This window comes from Homo sapiens, chromosome X (genome assembly GCF_000001405.40).
Source record: "Homo sapiens chromosome X, GRCh38.p14 Primary Assembly".
NCBI classification, from domain to species: domain Eukaryota; kingdom Metazoa; phylum Chordata; class Mammalia; order Primates; family Hominidae; genus Homo; species Homo sapiens.
In genome coordinates this window covers 432,318-447,810 of record NC_000023.11, presented here as the reverse complement: position 1 = coordinate 447,810, position 15,493 = coordinate 432,318, and the positions used below count along the sequence as shown (strand labels likewise).

Here is a 15,493-nt window from a genome sequence, read left to right as displayed (position 1 = left end):
AAAAAAAAGAAAGAAAGAAAGAAAAAAGAAAAGAAAATTAGCTGAGTGTGGTGGGGGGTGCCCGTAATCCCAGCTACTCAGGAGGCTGAGGCAGGAGAATCGCTTGAACCCAGGAGGTGGAGGTTGCACTGAGCCGAGATTACACCGTTGCACTCCAGGCTGGCTGACAGAGCGAGACTCTTTCTAAAAAAAAAAAAAAAAAAAAAAAAGCCTATTCCCATCATATACGAAATGTGTAGAACAGGCAAACCCATAGAGACAGAAGGAAGATTTTGAGTTGCCTGGGAATGGGGAGGGAAAATGGGCAGTTCTTCTCCTGGCTCTGTTTTTGAGGGATGACAATATTCTGGTATTATGTAGATGATATGCTACCACAACAAGGTGAATTCAGTAAATACCAACAAATCCTTCTGCTTGAAAGGGTTGCTGGCTGCGTTGCCTCACCTGTGTAATTGCAGCACTTTGGGAGGCCGAGGCAGGAGGATCGCTTGAGACCAGGAGTACAAGATGGGCCTGGGCAACACAGTGAGACCCTGTCTCTACCAAGAAAATAGTAATAATACAAAAATTAGCCAGGCATGGTGGGGCATGCCCACGGTCTCACCTACTCAGGAGGCTGAGGCAGGAGGATCACCTGAGCCCAGGACATTGAGGCTGCAGTGAGCTGTGATTGCACCAGTGCACCCTAGCCTGGGCAGCAGAGCGAGACCCTGTCTCAAAATAAATACATAAGTAATAAAAATAAAATGGTTGATTGCATGTTTCGTGAAACTCACCTCAATTAAAAAAAAAAAAAAACTTAAAACAGAGTTCAGAGGCCAGGCATGGTGTCTCACGCCTATAATCCCAGCACTTTAGGAGGCCGAGGCAGGTGGATCACCTGAGATCAGGAGATCGAGACCAGCCTGGCCAACACGGCAAAACCACATCTCTATTTAAAAAATAAAAAAAATTAGCCAGGCGTGGTGGCCGGTGCCTGTAGTCTCAGCTACTCGGGAGGCTGAGGCAGTAGAATCGAACCCAGGAGTCGGAGGTTGCAGTGAGCCTAGGGTGCACCACTGCACTCCAGCCTGGACGACAGAGCGAGACTCCCTGTCAAAAAAAAAAAACAAAAAACAAAAAAACAAACAAACAAAAAAACCGAAAAACCCAGAGTCCACCGTGACTCTCACAGTCAGGACTGAGCCAGGAAGAATGGGATCAGGGTGTGGTATTCCTAGCCCTCGCCAGGCCATCCCCAAGGCTGCTGTCTGCAGAAATGGAAGTCACCCCCCGTAGCGCGTGAACTCAGAGCACTTTCAGCCAACAGCGCAGAAATCGCGGAAACAAAGGGAAAAAGAAAAGCCCTTTTTGAATATTTTGAATAAACAAAGGGAAAAAGAAAAGCCCCTTTTGGATATTTTGAATACAACTTGGGGTCTCCTGCTGCCTCGGCCATGCTGTGAACATAAATAAATCAACGCGGGGGTGTGTTGCATCCATTGGGATTGTCCCAAAAGCACAGAAAGAATCAGAAGACAGTGGCCTTTCTCAAGCATTAATATTTCACCAGGCTCAGGACCTCCCTGGATTACAAATTAACAGTAATCAGGTCCCAGGAGCTCTGCCCTCTCCCCACCCAAATCCATCATCGTTTTCCTGAAAAGCGTTTTTGTTTTGTTTTCTTTTTGCTGATTTGCTGATTTCACACCACCCTATCCCATGTAAAACTCCCTTCTTTTCTGAAAATGAGATTTTTATAATATAAATCAGAAGTGCTCGGTAAAAGAGGGTGTGAGCCCCACGCTGAGTCCCTGACTCCCCCAGCTACTCCCTCTCCAAACAGAGCCATTGATGGGGAAGCTTTGCCCTTTGACGCCCTTGAGATCATCGTGCTGTCCTGAGCGTCTGTCAACCCCAAATCCGGGGGAGGGCTCCAGCTAATTACAGATAGGCCCATCAAGGGTCGGGGCCCAGGTCTTCACATCCTCCACATTAATGCCCTCTTCTGACCTCCTTCCAACTCTGACAAAATATCTTCTCTGGCTGGAAAGTTCTGGGGCTTTCTATCAGGCTGCGAAGTTTGAAGCAAATTGGACAAGCCATTTTTGACTTACGAGGCCGTGAAAAATTAATATGTTTCTGAGTTCTGCGAAAGTGTCCAAACTTTTTCTGCTCATAACTCAAAAAAAAAAAAAAAAAAAGGAGGAGAAACTCATCTTTGGGGAGTTTTCTAACTTGCCCTGCACTCAGTCAAAAGAAAAGGGTTTTATTCCGTTTGCGTTGTGTTGTTTTGCTGTTTTGTTATTTTGCAGAGTTGGAAGGTATATCACGGAGATCCTGGTGGTGGGAATATTCTATGGTAAGGGTGTTCTCCCATAATGATATTAATTATAATTTAGCAGGTGTTTGAAGAACAACGGTCAGTATACACTGAATGTCGTGTTCCCCCGACAAATTGCTATGTTGAATCCCTAACCGCTAAGGTGATGGTGTTAGGAAGTAGAGTTTTGGAAGGTGATGAGATTGTGAGGATGAAGCCTCATGAATGGGATTAGTGCCTTTATAAAAATTACAGACCCCAGGCCTGTAATCCCAGCACTTTGGGAGGCCGAGGCTGGCAGATCACAAAGTCAAGAGATCGAGACCAGCCTGGCCAACAATGGTGAAACCCTGTCTCTCCTAAAAATACAAAAATTAGCCAGGCGTGGTGGTGGACACCTGTAATCCCAGCTACTTGGGAGGCTGAGGCAGGAGAATCCCTTGAATGCGGGTGGCAGAGGTTGCAGTGAGCTGAGATCGCACCACTGCACTCCAGCCTGGCAACAGAGCAAAATTCCATCTAAAAAAGGAAAAAAAAAAAAAAAAGGAGTGGGGGACCCCAGGCCAGGCACGGTGGCTCATGCCTGTAATCCCAGCATTTTGGGAGGCCAAGGCAGGAGGATCACCTGAGGTCAGGAGTTCGAGACCAGCTTGGCCAACATGGTGAAACCCCATATGTACTAAAAATACAAGAATTAGCCAGGCTTGGTGGTGGACACCTATAATCCCAGCTACTTGGGAGGCTGAGGCGGGAGAGTCAGTTGAACCCAGGAGGCAGAGGTTGCAGCGAGCCAAGATCGTGCCATCGCACTCCAGCCTGGGGTACAAGAGCATAACTCCATCTCAAAAAAAGGGGGGACCTCAGAGAGCTCCCTCACCCCTTTCACCATATGAGGACACAGCCTGATGGCACCGTCTATGAATGAGCAAACAGGTCCCCATCAAACACAAAATCTACCACGCCTTGATCTGGGACTTTCCCCACCAAACACCAAATCTACCACGCGTTGATCTGAGACTTCCCAGCCTCTAGAGCTGTGAGCAGTAAATTCTTATTGTTTCTAAGCCATGCAGTCTATGGCATTCTGCCATATCAACACCAAGGGAGTAAGACAGCTGCCACCAGGTCTATGAGATTCTAGCTTCTATTTAGCAAAGGCTCAATGAAACCAGAAGAGAGGAAGATGTGTCCTGCTTTTCAATCCATGCCCCCTGCACTGTGAACCCAGTCACAATTCTTTCCTCTTACCCACACGTGGCCAATAGTTGGTCCTCTCTGTGGCTGTCCTGCCTCTGATTTGTGTCCACAGTGAACCCACCTCAAGGTTGCAACAAATCTCCTCTTCCTCTCCCACTGGCTGATCCTGTTGGTCATCGTGAAATGTTTCCTGAGGTTCCCAAAGCTCGCCCCACCCCAAACCGAGGGCACTTTCTTCCTGATGCCTGAGTTCCTCATGCTCCTTCCATGAACACGTGAGATGGGGAAGCTGAATCATCGTGCTGGGACTCGGAGCCTTGTCATTTTGGGGTCATTCCTGCCTCACACGTCTCAGTGGGAACCAGCGTCACCTCCCTCTTTGGCATCCTGGAGCCTCATACATTCTCTATCCCCCCCATCCTGGCATCCAGGGAGCTGGACTTTCTGCCCAGCACTTGGAACCTTGAGAGAATAAAGGAAATCAGCTGCAGGACAGAAATTCCTCATGACCACAGCAACATCTCCAGAGCCCAGAGGCAGCTTGGAGAGTCCTCCCCGACCACCTTCCTCCCTTGGGTTCTGCCCTGTTGTCTGAGTCTCCATCTTTGGGTTCCCTGCCAAGACTATAAATTCCCCTAATGTTTTTCCCATGAATTCCTTCCCTGGCTAAGCTATTGAGGTCTTCTCTGATCCTCTCATGTCCTTTTCCTTGTTCTCCTTAGACCTCGTCCACCTCCACTCCTTCTATATCCCACCCGTGTGTGGAGCATCTGCAGGGACACTCCGACTCCTAGGTTGCTTCCTCTGCAAGATCTGGGGTGATATTTTCAGCTGCCTGAATAACTCCTCCACGTGCAGCCTTGATGATTGAAGATAAGGTTATGCCACCTCCCAAAGAACAGGTCAAAGACTTGGTAGGACATTCAGATTGTCTCGTTATCTGCTGCACTTCTAATTACAAATCAGAGACCGATCCATCTTATCTGCAGGTTTAAAATGAAGCTACTTCTGCACATCACTTTGTGGTCAGACGGAGGGGAACTCTCCACTTTTAAATTCAAAGTTGAATTGAATGAACGAATGAATGAATGAATGAATGAGTACTTGATGGAGACTTTCTCACCTCCCTGGCTGAGAAAAACTCCAACATCCACTCCAAACATGCAAGCAACTAAGTAAATAAGTACATTTCTGGTGGGGCTATCTGTTTGCTCTCCAAAGAAAGCAAACTCAGCCGAGCATGGTGGCTCATGCCTGTCATCTCAGCATTTTGGGAGGCCAAGGCGGGAGGATCACCTGAGGTCAGGGGTTCAAGACCAGCCTGGCCAACATGGTAAAAACCCGTCTCTACTAAAAATACAAAAATCAGCCGGGTGTGGTGGCAGACACCTGTAGTCCCAGCTATTCAGGAGGCTGAGGCAGGAGAATCACTTGAACCCAGAAGGCAGAGGTTGCAGTGTGGTGTGGTGGCGGGTGTCTGTAATCCCAGCTACTTGGGAGACTGAGGCAGGAGAATCGCTTGAACCCCAGAGGTGGAGGTTGCAGTGAGCCGAGATTGCGCCATTGCACGCCAGCCTGAGCGACAAGGGTGAAACTCTATCTGAAAAATAAAATAAAATAAAATGGAAAGCAAACTCTCCCTTCTCTGCATGGAAATAAACTTATCTTCTCCTTTTTGTTGCTTCTGAAAAATGAGACAAAATGAAGAGAAGAGAATGATATATTGTGATGTGAAAACACACACACACACATACACAAATGTCTCTCTTTGCTCTGCACCAATTACTAAATGAAAGCCAGTTTAGTGAATGTTTAAACTTCTCCACCCTAGAGGTTGAGCTCTCTGGGTATAGAAACCTCTCACTATGTTTCAGCTCCTCTGTCTCAAAAAAAACCCAAAAGATAGATGGATAGATAGATGATAGATGGATGGATGGATTAGATGGATGGATGGATAGACAGATAGATAGATAGACAGACAAACAGACAGACAGACAGACAGACAGACAGATAGATAGAATTGCCGGGCACGGTGGCTCATGCCTATAATCCCAGCACTTGGGCAGGTTGACGCGGGTGGATCACGAGGTCAGGAGATTGAGACCATCCTGGCCAACATGGTGAAACCCCGTCTCTACTAAAAATATAAAAATCAGCCAGGTGTGGTGGCAGGTGCCTGTAGTCCCAGCTACTCAGGAGGCTGAGGCAGGAGAATCACTTGAACCCAGAAGGCAGAGGTTGCAGTGAGCCAAGATCACACCACTGCACTCCAGCCTGGGCGACAGAGTGAGACTCAGTCTCAAAAAGAAAGAAAGAAAGAAAGAAAATCTACAGCAAAGTACCACAAACCACAGGGCTTAAACAACAGACATTGATTTCTCACACACATGAAGACTGGAGGTCCAAGATCAAAGTAGCAACATCTCAGCTCCTGGTGAGGACTCCCTTCCTGGCTTGCAGACGGCAACCTTCTTGCTGTGTCATTCCATGGTGCGGGGTGGAGAGAAAGAGACAGAGAGAGAGACAGAGAGAGAGGAAGCTCTGGTGTCCCTTTTATGGGGATACTAATCCCATTCGTGAGACTCTACCATCACGACCTCCTCACCTCCCAAAGACCCCCCACTAGTAACACTCTGACCTTGGGGTTCAGGGTTTCAACGTAGGACTTGGCAGGACAAAGCATTCATTCGGTCTGCAGAAAAAGATCCACAAAGCCCCTTTGGAACCTGGACTGGGACACAGCCGTGCATCTGGGGAGGCTCCACCTCCCAGGTTCAAGCGATTCTCCTGCCTCAGCCTCCCAAGTAGGTGGGACTACAGGTGCCCGCCACCATACCCCGCTAATTTTTTGTATTCTTAGTAGAGATGGAGTTTTACCACGTTGGCCAAGATGGTCTCGATCTCCTGACCTCATGATCCACTCACCTCGGCCTCCCAAAGTGCTGGGATGCCAGGCGTGAGCCACCGCGCCCGGCCAACCACAGATTTTTTCCAAAGACTGAAACCAACAAACAAAAAAAATCACCAAAATTCACAAAAGTATGTCTGTTACAACTTCACACTCACCTTTCATACTTTTCATTTTCATTATAAAACATTGACGAGTCGCTTTTTCTGCCTCCAACAAGCAGTAGAAACACAACAAAATACCACGAAAAGTCCACATGCGTCTACTATGAAAGCAGGAACATCTAACAACCTAAGGGCCCCTTTGTACACGAAAAAAGGCAAAAATTAACATTTCACGCTAGACCAGGACAGCACAAAGGGAATATGGCCTGGGGCCTTCATCTCTTCATCCTCACGAATTACCATGTGTGGTTGGAGACATATGTGTGGTTTGTCTGCCTCACGTGGGTGTCTGTAAAGAAACGTCTGTCCCTGCGTCCAGGGCCCCTTTGAGCCTCACGCCTCTCCCCCCTGCACAGGTAGCTCCACGGAGCCTTGTGGAATCAGCCGAGGCCGGACGTGTGGTTTATGAGGCCTCCAGGGCCCTCAGGGTCGGCCTGCAGCCTGGGCTGGACGATCGCTGAGTAACATTTGCAGCAGCAGCAGCAGCCTGAGGAAGGGGTCAATGTTTGCCACGCAGATGTGTATGTCTGTGTGTGGGTGTGTGTGTGTACAGGTGTGCGTGCATGGGCCTGTGTATGTGTGTGTCTGTGCAGGTGTGTATGAATGTCTGTGTGTATATGTCTGTGTGTGGGTGTGAATGTATGTGTACAAGCGTGTGTGTGCACCTGTGTGTGCGTGGGTGTGTATCTGTGTGTGTATGAATGTGTGTGTGTACAGATGTGTATGTCTGTGTGTAGGTGTGAATGTATGTGTACAGGCGTGTATGTGCACCTGTGTGGGGGGGGTGTGTCTGTGTGTGTGTGTGTACAGGTGTGTATGTCTGTGTGTAGGTGTGAATGTATGTGTACAGGCATGTGTGTGCACCTGTGTGTGGGGGGTGTGTCTGTGTGTGCATGTGAATGTATGTGTACAGGTGTGTGTGTGCATGTGCCTCTGTGTGTGTGTGTGCAGGTGTGTCTGTATATGTCTGTGGGTGTGAACGTGTACAGGCGTGTGTACCCGTGTGTGTGTGCATGTGTGTATGAATGTGTGTGTACAGGTGTGTGTCTGTGTGTAGGTGTGAATGTATGTGTACAGGCGTGTGTGTGCACCTGTGTGTGTGGGGGGCTGTGTCTGTGTGTGCATGTGAATGTATGTGTACAGGTGTGTGTGTGCATGTGCCTCTGTGTGTGTGTGTGCAGGTGTGTCTGTGTATATGTCTGTGGGTGTGAACGTGTACAGGCGTGTGTACCCGTGTGTGTGTGCGTGTATGAATGTGTGTGTACAGGTGTGTATGTCTGTGTGTGGGTGTGAATGGATGTGTACAGGCGTGTGTGTGCACCTGTGTTCAGGTGTATATGAATGTGTGTGTCCTGGTGTGTACGTGTGGGGTTGTGAATGTGTGTGTACAGGAGTGTGTGCGCCTGTGTGTGGTGCAGGTGTGTATGAATGTGTGTGTGGGTGCGTATGTCTGTGTGTGGGTGTGAATGTATGTGTATAGGAGTGTGTGTACGTGTGTGTGTGTGCAGGTGTGTATGAATGTATGTCTGTGTGTTGGTGTGAATGTGTGTGTACAGATGTGTGTGTAGGTGCGTACGAATGCATATGTGTGTCTGGGTGTGAATGTATGTGTACAGGCATCTGTGTGCCTGTGTGTGTGTGGGTGTGTATGTCTGTCTCTGTGTGCACAGGCCAGGGAAGCTCACACACAAACAGCTGTCTTCTTTGATTCATCTCTGCCCCCACCCTGGTGCGTTGTGCAGAGTTCATTGCACCCCCAAAATACTCAGTGCCCCGGCGTGAACCCTGAGTGGCCCAGCCTGGGCAGGTGCATGTCTCCAACCCGCCGTGTGGAACCCGCCACACTCCTGAAGGAAACGGTCTTCCCAGCTGAGCAGGCTTGAACCTGCTGCCCTAGAGTCCTGGGTCTTCCTATTGGGCTCCTTTCCAGGGTACCTCCTGGGGTCTCTGCACCCTCCTCCAACACCAGCTCTGGGGTCTGTGTGAAGGTCATAAAAACACCAACCCTCCCAGCACTTTGGGAGGCCGAGGTGGGTGGATCACCTGAGGTCAGGAGTTCGAGACCAGCCTGGCCAACACGGTGAAACCCCGTCTCTACTACAAATACAAAATTAGCCCGGTGCGGTGGCAGGTGCTTGTAATCCCAGCTATTCGGGAGGCTGAGGCAGGAGAATGACTTGGATCCAGGAGGCGGAGGTTGCAGTGAGCTGAGATCACGCCACTGCACTCCAGCCTGGGCAACAGAGTGAGACTCTGTCTCAAAAAAACAAAACAAATCAAAAACGCCAGCCCACCCAGGCAATGCCTGTTGCGCACCCAGGACTCTGCATTCCAGGCACCAGAGGCAGGAAGCTTGACCGAGCTGGCCAGGAGAGAAGCAAAGCTGCCCGTGTCGACCTGTCCTTCACTGCGGGAATGCAGGTGCTCAGGTACGCCACCGTTTGTCCCCAGCTTCCTGGCCAGCCGCGGGAACCCCCTGCTGCTCCCTTTCTTGGGGACAGTGATGGGGACCGGGTGCTTTTGCTCCCCTGAGACTGTGACTGTGTTTTGAAGCTGCCGCCAGGATGCCAGCGGCTCCGTCCCAGCAAACAGGCCACATAGCCGGGCGCGGTGGCTCACGCCTGTCATCCCAGCACTTTGGGAGGCCGAGGCGGGCTGATCCGGAGGTCAGGAGTTCGAGACCAGCCTGGCCAACATGGTGAAACCCCGTCTCTACTAAAAATACAAAAAATTAGCTGGGCGTGGCGGCGGGCGCCTGTAGTCCCAGCTACTCGGGAGGCTGAGGCAGGAGAATGGCTTGAACCCGGGAGGTGGAGGTTGCAGTGAGCCGAGATCACACCCCTGCACTCCAGCCTGGGCAACAGAGCGAGACTCCATCTCAAAAACTAAAAATAAAAATAAAAAAAACAGGCCACATGTGTGCACAGTGAGGCTCTCCAAGCCCATCGCTGTCCCAGGAAATGTTAACAGCTCCCCGAGCTCTGCTCCTCATCCAGGACCCCAGACCGACTTCTCCTCGACAGCCCTGGGACAGACACGACCGCGGCCTCCTCCTCCCCCTCCTCCCCTCTCCGCCTCTTCGGCAGAGGCCCCCACGTCCGCACGATCGGGAACAAACATCCTTTCTGATTCAGCATCACGTTACCTGCCAGTCCTGTGGCCTTTCCTCATCTGGTTGCACGTACCTCATATGCTTTGTGGTTAAATTATGCATTAAGGTCAATGTCAAAACACAGCAGCCCCGTAACCTGCAGGGAACTGGCTTTTACTCGTGATCACGGTGAAACGGGGGCCGCCTGTCAGCCAGCCGGGGTGGGCGCCCAGCGTGGGGGGCCCCCGTGCCGTGGCGTTGTCTACAAAGGCGGCCCGTCGTCTCCCAGGACGCACCCTTGATGGATTTACCCAGACAACGCGCCTCTCTTGAAAGGCGTCTGCCCTGCCTCTTCCATCTGAAACCTGTCAGCCTCACCTATAGACTCACGTCGGAAATCAAACAGCAGAGGCTGCGCGTGCCTGGGACGCTCCACGTGTCATGTCCTGACTTGTAGTTTCAGATCTTCTAAAGGAAAACGGTGTCAGAAGAAGGAAGGCCGGGAGGAGTGTGCTGTTCCGTGTTTGCTTTATCTTTTTTTACCCCTTAAAAAAAATAAAAATAAAAAAAAAATAAAAAGTTGCCGCATATTCCGGAAGCCGCCGTGGGCCTCGTGGTAGATGAAGCACGTCGGGGTGTTGAAGGAGGCGGCTCTGGGAGTGGGTGGGGGGTGGCGGGGGGTGGCGGGCCCCGGGGAGCTGCGGGAACCTCCTGGAAACTGCAGGAATTTGTGCAGGACGTATATTGATTGTGACTCTTGGGGGTTTTTCTTTCCTTTCTTTGGTTTCATTTCCTCCTTCCCTCCCTCCCTTCCTTCCTTCCCTGTCTCTGTCTCTGTCTGTGTCTCTGTCTCTCTGTCTCTCTGTTTCTCTGTCTCTGCCTCTCTCTGTGTCTCTCTGTCTCTCCATCTCTCTGTCTGTCTCTCTCTGTGTCTGTCTCTGTCTCTCTGTGTGTATCTGTCTCTCTGTCTCTGTCTCTCCATCTTTGTCTCTCTGTCTCTCTCTGTGTCTCTGTCTCTCTCTGTGTCTCTGTCTCTCTCCATCTCCATCTGTCTCTCTCCGTCTGCTGTCTCTGTGTCTCTGTCTCTCTGTGTGTATCTCTCTGTCTCTCTCTGTCTCTCTGTCTTTGTCTCTCTCTGTGTCTCTACGTCTCTCTGTATCTGTATCTCTCTGTCCCTCTCTGTCTCTCTCTGTCTCTCCATCTTTGTATCTCTCCCTCTGTCTCTGCCTCTCTGTCTTTCTGTCTCTGTCTCTGCCTCTCTCTGTGTCTCTCTGTCTCTCCATCTCTCTGTCTGTCTCTCTCTGTGTCTCTCTGTCTCTGTCTCTCTGTGTGTCTCTGTCTCTCTGTCTCTGTCTCTCCATCTTTGTCTCTCTGTCTCTCTCTGTGTCTGTCTCTCTCTGTGTCTCTGTCTCTCTCCATCTCCATCTCTCTCTCTCTCCGTCTGCTGTCTCTGTCTCTGTCTCTCTGTGTGTATCTCTCTGTCTCTCTCTGTCTCTCCGTCTTTGTCTCTCTCTGTGTCTCTACGTCTCTCTCTGTATCTGTATCTCTCTGTCCCTCTCTGTCTCTCTCTGTCTCTCCATCTTTGTATCTCTCCGTCTGTCTCTGCCTCTCTTTCTTTCTCTGTCTCTGCCTCTCTCTGTGTCTCTTTCTCTGTCTCTCCATCTCTCTTTGTCTCTCTGCGTCTGTCTCTCTTTCTCTCTCTCTATCTCTCTTTCTCTTTGTCTCTGTCTCTCTGCCTCTCTCTTTGTCTCTGTCTCTGTGTCTCTCTCTCTTTCTCTCTGAGCCAGTTCATCCTCCCCTGGTGCCTAGTTTTTAGGGGATTTTGAGCGTAATAAAAACTGATTCCTGGCCGGGCGCAGTGGCTCACACCTGTCATCCCAGCACTCTGGGAGGCTGAGGCAGGCGGATCCCCTGAGCTCATGAGTTCGAGACCAGCCTGACCAACATGGTGAAACCCCATCTCTACTAAAAATACAAAATCAGCCGGGCGTGCTGGCAGGTGCCTGTCATCCCAGCTACTCGGGAGGCTGAAGCAGGAGAATGGCTTGAACCCGGGAGGCGGAGGTTGCAGAGAGCCGAGATCACGCCCCTGCACTCCAGCCTGGGTGACAGAGCGAGACTCTATCTCCAAAAACAAAAAAGAGAGAGAGAGAGAGAGAGAGAGACAGGGTGTTGCCCTGTCACCCAGGCTGGAGTGCAGTGGCGCAATCACAGCTCACCGCCGCGTCCACCTCCCGGCCTCACACCATCCTGCGGTCTGGACGGGTCCCCGGGACACCCCTGTCTTTTCCCTCAGCTCTGCATTTTCCCAGTGAATTCTCCTCTTTCCTGGGGCCTCACCCACACCCGGGACCTGGGGCCACCGCTCCTGCCCATCCCGGCGCCGGGCACCCATGGCCGGCCGTGAGTTCTGGTCCTTCACTGGCAAGGAGGCACCTCCCAGGACCGTATACAAACCTGTAGGTACAAATGTCATCCGTCCTCAGCTCGGGGAGACACAGGTGCCTCTCACGGCGCTGACAGCCCCGGCACGTGTCGTGGGCTGGGTCAAGAATAGAAGCTCCTTCCCCTACTGAGAATGACCGAGAATCAGTGGTGTTTTATCCTGAATTTGATATTCAGAGTCGAATGAACTGTTTTTTTTTTTTTTTCTTCCCCCAGCTCAACTCTCATCTATTTATCTTAAGGCAGACGATCGCTGTGATTTTATAAGAAAGCGCTCCCAATCAAAGCGTACCTATGCGGAGGTAATTAATACAAAGATTGCTGAATTAAAGATGTGAGTCTCCGCTCTCGGGCGAGGGGCCCAGGGACCCCGTCTCCCGGGCCCAAATTATGCCAGAGACAGACCAATTAACACCCCGCGTCATCCTCTTTTATGTTAACTTCAATGACGGCTTCTCACCATTTTTAAAGTTATTTTCTTCTTCGCCATCTCTGCACATCAAAGAGCCAGGCCGGAGAGGCTCCCGCAGGTGAGATCGGTGCCAGGAGACCCCCCGGGAGGGGACGACCGCCGCCCCAGGAACCCCCACACGGATCACTGTAGGGTCCGCCTCGGGGAGCGAAGACCCTCAGGGAAAGGGCCCTTCTGAGGGGAAATCCTGGTCAGCTTATTATTACTATTATTATTATTATTATTATTATTATTATTATACTTTAAGTTTTAGGGTACATGTGGACAATGTGCAGGTTTGTTACATACGTATACATGTGCCATGTTGGTGTAGCATTAGGTATATCTCCTAACGCTATTCCTCCCCCTTCCCCCCACCCCACAACAGTCCCCGGTGTGTGATGTTCCCCTTCCTGTGTCCAAGTGTTCTCATGGTTCAATTCCCACCTATGAGTGAGAATATGTTTGGTTTTTAGTCCTTGCGATAGTTTACTGAGAATGATGATTTCCAATTCCATCCACGTCCCTACAAAGGACATGAACTCATCCTTTTTCATGGCTGCATAGTATTCCATGGTGTATATGTGCCACATTTTCTTCATCCAGTCTATCGTTGTTGGACATTTGGGTTGGTTCCAAGTCTTTGCTATTGTGGACAGTGCCGCAATAAACATACGTGTGCATGTGTCTTTATAGCAGCATGATTTATAGTCCTTTGGGTATATACCCAGCAATGGGATGGCTGGGTCAAATGGTATTTCTAGTTCTAGATCCCTGAGGAATCGCCACACTGACTTCCACAATGGTTGAACTAGTTGACAGTCCCACCAACAGTGTAAAAGTGTTCCTACTTCTCCACATCCTCTCCAGCACCTGTTGTTTCCTGGGGGAGAGGGGAGGGACAGCATTAGGAGACATACCCAATGTAAATGACGAGTTAATGGGTGCAGCACACCAGCATGGCACATGTATACGTATGTAACTAACCTGCGCTTTGTGCACATGTACCCTCGAACTTAAAGTATAATAATAAAAAAGTAAAAAAAAAAAAATGCCATTGACAAACCCAACTCCCATCGCGGCTGCCTCCCAACCTCAAAACGGCCGTCTCAAAGCACAAAATGAAACCGCCTCTGCCGTCGCCTCTGTCCTCCTCACCAATCGCCAGGTGGGAGAGGTTTCCACGGGGTCCGTCTCCTCGTCTCTTGAAGTCCCTTCACGCAGCTCGGCCGCCAAAAGCTCCCGAGTTTCAGCGTCTTGACCGGTGAACGGGAGAAAACAGAACGGCCCAAGGTGTCATCCCAGGTCGGCGGGCAGCTGGTGACATTTCGGCTCAAGCACGCTGAGTAAGACTCACCGCCACACCAGGTCACAGAAAGTGGAAACGAAGCCCGGGCTGGGCAGTGTACGCTGCTGCTACAATGGAAGAATGGAAGCTTCCTTCCTTCCTTCCTTCCCTCCCTCCTTCCTTCCTTTCGTCCTTCCCTCCCTCCTTCCCCTTCCTTCCTTCGTTCCATCACTCCTCCCTTCCTTTCTTCCTTTGTTCATTGCCTCCTTCTTCCTTCTTCATTGCCTTTGCAGCAATGAAGGGATCATCCCTTGCCAGGTGCCAGCCTCCCATATAGATTCTCTCCTTCCTTCTGAGCCCCTGTTGGTGTTTGACTAATCCATGGGTCCATGCCCATGCCAAGATCCCAAAGACAGGTGCCAGCGTGCAAGGGTCATAATCAAGCCACTTAAAGAGCTGTTGGGCCGGGCGCAGTGGCTGACGCCTGTCATCCCAGCACTTTGGGAGGCCGAGGCAGGCGGATCACGAGGTCAGGAGATCGAGACCATCCTGGCTAACACGGTGAAACCCGGTCTCTACTAAAAATACAAAAAAGTATCCGGGCGTGGTGGCGGGCACCTGTAGTCCCAGCTACTCGGGAGGCTGAGGCAGGAGAATGGTGTGAACTCGGGAGGCGGAGCTTGCAGTGAGCCGAGATGGCACCACCGCACTCCAGCCTGGGCGACAAGAGCACGACTTTGTCTCAAAAAAAAAAAAAAAAAAAAAAAAAAACAAAAAAAAAACAAGATTTCAGAGTGACCTGCTTGGAGAAGCCGGTATGAGCTCATGGGCAACTGTGTCTCTAAGTGCGGCCGTCCTCTTAATTCCTTAGTGCAGTGTGGTTCTCAGCCAGGGGACATCCTGCCCCCTCCCCGGACACACTCAGCAATATCAGGGGACATGTCTGCATGTCACAACATGGGGGTGAACTGGCATCTGCTGGGTGGAGCCCAGGGACGCTCCTCAGCACCCTACAGCGCCCAGGACGGCCCCACCACAGAGTCAACACCCTACAGCTCCCAGGACGGCCTCATCACAGAGACTCAACACCCTACAGCGCCCAGGACGGCCCCACCACAGAGTCAACACCCTACAGCTCCCAGGACGGCCTCATCACAGAGACTCAGCACCCTACAGCGCCCAGGACGGCCCCACCACAGAGTCAACACCCTACAGCTCCCAGGACGGTCTCATCACAGAGACTCAGCACCCTACAGCGCCCAGGATGGCCCCACCACAGAGTCAACACCCTACAGCTCCCAGGACGGTCTCATCACAGAGACTCAGCACCCTACAGCGCCCAGGACGGCCCCACCACAGAGTCAACACCCTACAGCTCCCAGGACGGCCTCATCACAGACACTCAACACCCTACAGGGCCCAGGACGGCCTCATCACAGAGACTCAGACTCAACACCCTACAGTGCCCAGGACGGCCTCATCACAGAGACTCAGCACCCTACAGTGTCCAGGACGGCCTCATCACAGAGACTTAACACCCTACAGGGCCCAGGACGGCCTCATCACAGAGACTCAGACTCAGCACCCTACAGTGTCCAGGACGGCCTCATCACAGAGACTCAGCATCCTACAGGGCCCAGGACGGCC

General features: G+C 51.1%; 1 long non-coding RNA gene across 2 annotated transcripts in view, besides 8 other annotated features; it reads right to left on the bottom strand.

Moving 5' to 3' along the window:
- LOC102724521 (uncharacterized) overlaps positions 1–15,493 on the bottom strand; it is a 42,736-nt gene that overhangs the window by 24,946 nt on the left and 2,297 nt on the right. The window contains exons 2-6 of one of the 2 annotated variants that reach the window (XR_001755744.2): positions 13,717–13,974; positions 12,120–12,234; positions 10,041–10,207; positions 6,425–6,497; positions 5,887–6,191 (exon numbers count right to left, since the gene is read on the bottom strand). This is a non-coding gene — a long non-coding RNA (uncharacterized LOC102724521). Of the gene's footprint in view, positions 1–4,414; positions 5,100–5,886; positions 6,192–6,424; positions 6,498–10,040; positions 10,208–12,119; positions 12,235–13,716; positions 13,975–15,493 lie in introns of those variants that run through there. The other variant, XR_007068359.1, reaches the window with a different exon arrangement.
- Positions 1,099–1,630: an enhancer, noted in NCBI's record as "OCT4-NANOG hESC enhancer chrY:356916-357447 (GRCh37/hg19 assembly coordinates)". NCBI's record gives its function as "activates a minimal SCP1, AML or CMV promoter by ChIP-STARR-seq in naive H9 embryonic stem cells {active_cell/tissue: H9 hESC(naive)}" and the evidence as "EXISTENCE:reporter gene assay evidence [ECO:0000049][PMID:30033119]".
- Positions 1,099–1,937: a biological region, named in NCBI's record as "OCT4-NANOG hESC enhancers GRCh37_chrX:406609-407442 and GRCh37_chrY:356916-357447".
- Positions 1,104–1,937: an enhancer, noted in NCBI's record as "OCT4-NANOG hESC enhancer chrX:406609-407442 (GRCh37/hg19 assembly coordinates)". NCBI's record gives its function as "activates a minimal SCP1, AML or CMV promoter by ChIP-STARR-seq in naive H9 embryonic stem cells {active_cell/tissue: H9 hESC(naive)}" and the evidence as "EXISTENCE:reporter gene assay evidence [ECO:0000049][PMID:30033119]".
- Positions 9,596–10,189: an enhancer, noted in NCBI's record as "CNE-5 PCR-amplified reporter construct fragment". NCBI's record gives its function as "enhancer in human U2OS osteosarcoma cells" and the evidence as "EXISTENCE:reporter gene assay evidence [ECO:0000049][PMID:26631348]".
- Positions 9,639–10,189: an enhancer, noted in NCBI's record as "CNE-5 PCR-amplified reporter construct fragment". NCBI's record gives its function as "enhancer in ovo in chicken limb buds" and the evidence as "EXISTENCE:reporter gene assay evidence [ECO:0000049][PMID:19997128]".
- Positions 9,738–9,900: a conserved region, noted in NCBI's record as "conserved region; CRCNE00011082 more deeply conserved sub-region". NCBI's record gives the evidence for it as "EXISTENCE:sequence alignment evidence [ECO:0000200][PMID:21731768]".
- Positions 9,941–10,062: a conserved region, noted in NCBI's record as "conserved region; CRCNE00011074 more deeply conserved sub-region". NCBI's record gives the evidence for it as "EXISTENCE:sequence alignment evidence [ECO:0000200][PMID:21731768]".
- Positions 11,360–11,859: an enhancer, noted in NCBI's record as "H3K4me1 hESC enhancer chrX:396687-397186 (GRCh37/hg19 assembly coordinates)". NCBI's record gives its function as "activates a minimal SCP1, AML or CMV promoter by ChIP-STARR-seq in naive H9 embryonic stem cells {active_cell/tissue: H9 hESC(naive)}" and the evidence as "EXISTENCE:reporter gene assay evidence [ECO:0000049][PMID:30033119]".